This window comes from Homo sapiens, chromosome 5, assembly GCF_000001405.40.
Source record: "Homo sapiens chromosome 5, GRCh38.p14 Primary Assembly".
NCBI classification, from domain to species: Eukaryota; Metazoa; Chordata; class Mammalia; order Primates; family Hominidae; genus Homo; species Homo sapiens.
In genome coordinates this window covers 73,321,076-73,322,607 of record NC_000005.10, presented here as the reverse complement: position 1 = coordinate 73,322,607, position 1,532 = coordinate 73,321,076, and the positions used below count along the sequence as shown (strand labels likewise).

The following is a 1,532-nucleotide window of genomic DNA, read 5'->3' as shown; positions in this document are numbered from 1 at the left end:
GGGACTTACAGCCATGGCTTTCACACAGCAGGGTGAGAAGCAGCCCCCGAGACCCCAGGCTGAGCAGGCCAGGAAGCAACACCCCACACCCCTCTCCCCCATGTAGCCAGGATCAGAATCAACACCCTTGAAGGGTAAATCCTTTCCTCATGCACTTGTGCCCAGGAAGCAGATGTTCTGTCCCTACTCTGGGGTCTGGGCACTGTTGTGTAGTTGGATCCTTCCACCCTATCCTCAAACCACAGACCAGATAAATCGAATTGAACCGACTTCAAAGCAAACACTGAGCGGAGCCATCTGGGATTCATTCCTGAACCGGCCCTTTTCTAGTTATGTAACCACAGAGATGCAGACAGAAAGACACAGATTGGGAGAACTGGTTTTTGTTGTTGTTGTTGTTGTTAAACCTCCAAATCTTTGCAGTATTGGGATAATTATGGCTTTCATAGCATTGATTACTTTAAGCTGTCAGTAATTTGAATCCTTTTCAGAGTCAGTGACCAACATTTTGCAATTGAATTCTATCTTCCTGCTTCCATTCTGAGTAAAGGAAATAGAATGCTGAGCTCATAGGGCCTTCTTCAGAATGCCACATGCTGGGCACTTTGTGGTCACACCTAGAATGCTACAATGGACACATCTCCTAGGCATCCTCCTGGGTTCATTACACACTTCCTTCCCACGCCATAGTCTCATTCTGGAATGTTCATTAATCTCCTACCTGAAAGAGCAAGAAGAAATATGAAATTTTAGATAGGCCAGGGCTTTTGATGTGAATCATTCATGAATCACCCAAAACATTGTGGTTCATGGATAAAAGGCAAAGGCAAATACTGGATACTTTAAGAAGCTATACTGCCTACATCTATGCAATTTTTAAACATTTTATTTTCTGATTTAAAAGTAATACCTCTCCAATGTGAAAATTCTAAAAATTCTGAGGACTATGGAGAAGAAAATAATTGTTCCAAATCGTTGCTGGGGAGGATTATTCAAACAATAATTGATGCTAATATTTTAGCACATTTTTCCCCAGTTTTCGATTCATGCATATTTACATTTCTAGAACTAAGGCTATATTGCGTTTATAATTGTGTCCTATATTTTTACTGAAACATTTTCCACATAGTAAAAAACTTTATAACCTTAGTTTTCAGTAGCTACATAATTTCAAATAAAATAAATGTACCTTTTTTTTTTTTTTTTTTTTTTTTAGACAGCGTCTTACTCTGTCACCAGGCTGGAGTGCAGTGGCGTGATCTCAGCTCACTGCAACCTCCACCTCACGGTTGAAGTGATTCTTCTGCCTCAGCCTCCTGAGTAGCTGGGACTACAGGCATGCACCACCACGCCTGGCTAATTTTTGTATTTTTGGAACAGACGGGATTTCACCATGTTGGCCATGATGGTTTCGATCCCTTGACCTCATGATCCAACTGCCTTGGCCTCCCAAAGTGCTGGGATTACAGGCATGAGCCACCGTGCTCGGCCCATAACTTTTTTTAAAAACAAATCCCTTATTGTTGGACCAA

The 1,532-nt window shown here is 41.7% G+C and overlaps 2 annotated features.

Moving 5' to 3' along the window:
* Window positions 1–1,200: an enhancer, noted in NCBI's record as "CDK7 strongly-dependent group 2 enhancer chr5:72617235-72618434 (GRCh37/hg19 assembly coordinates)". NCBI's record gives its function as "activates an origin of replication core promoter dependent on BRD2, BRD4, P300/CBP, MED14 and CDK7 cofactors, with strong dependence on CDK7, by STARR-seq in HCT116 cells {active_cell/tissue: HCT116}" and the evidence as "EXISTENCE:reporter gene assay evidence [ECO:0000049][PMID:35650434]".
* Window positions 113–720: an enhancer, noted in NCBI's record as "OCT4-NANOG-H3K4me1 hESC enhancer chr5:72617715-72618322 (GRCh37/hg19 assembly coordinates)". NCBI's record gives its function as "activates a minimal SCP1, AML or CMV promoter by ChIP-STARR-seq in naive H9 embryonic stem cells {active_cell/tissue: H9 hESC(naive)}" and the evidence as "EXISTENCE:reporter gene assay evidence [ECO:0000049][PMID:30033119]".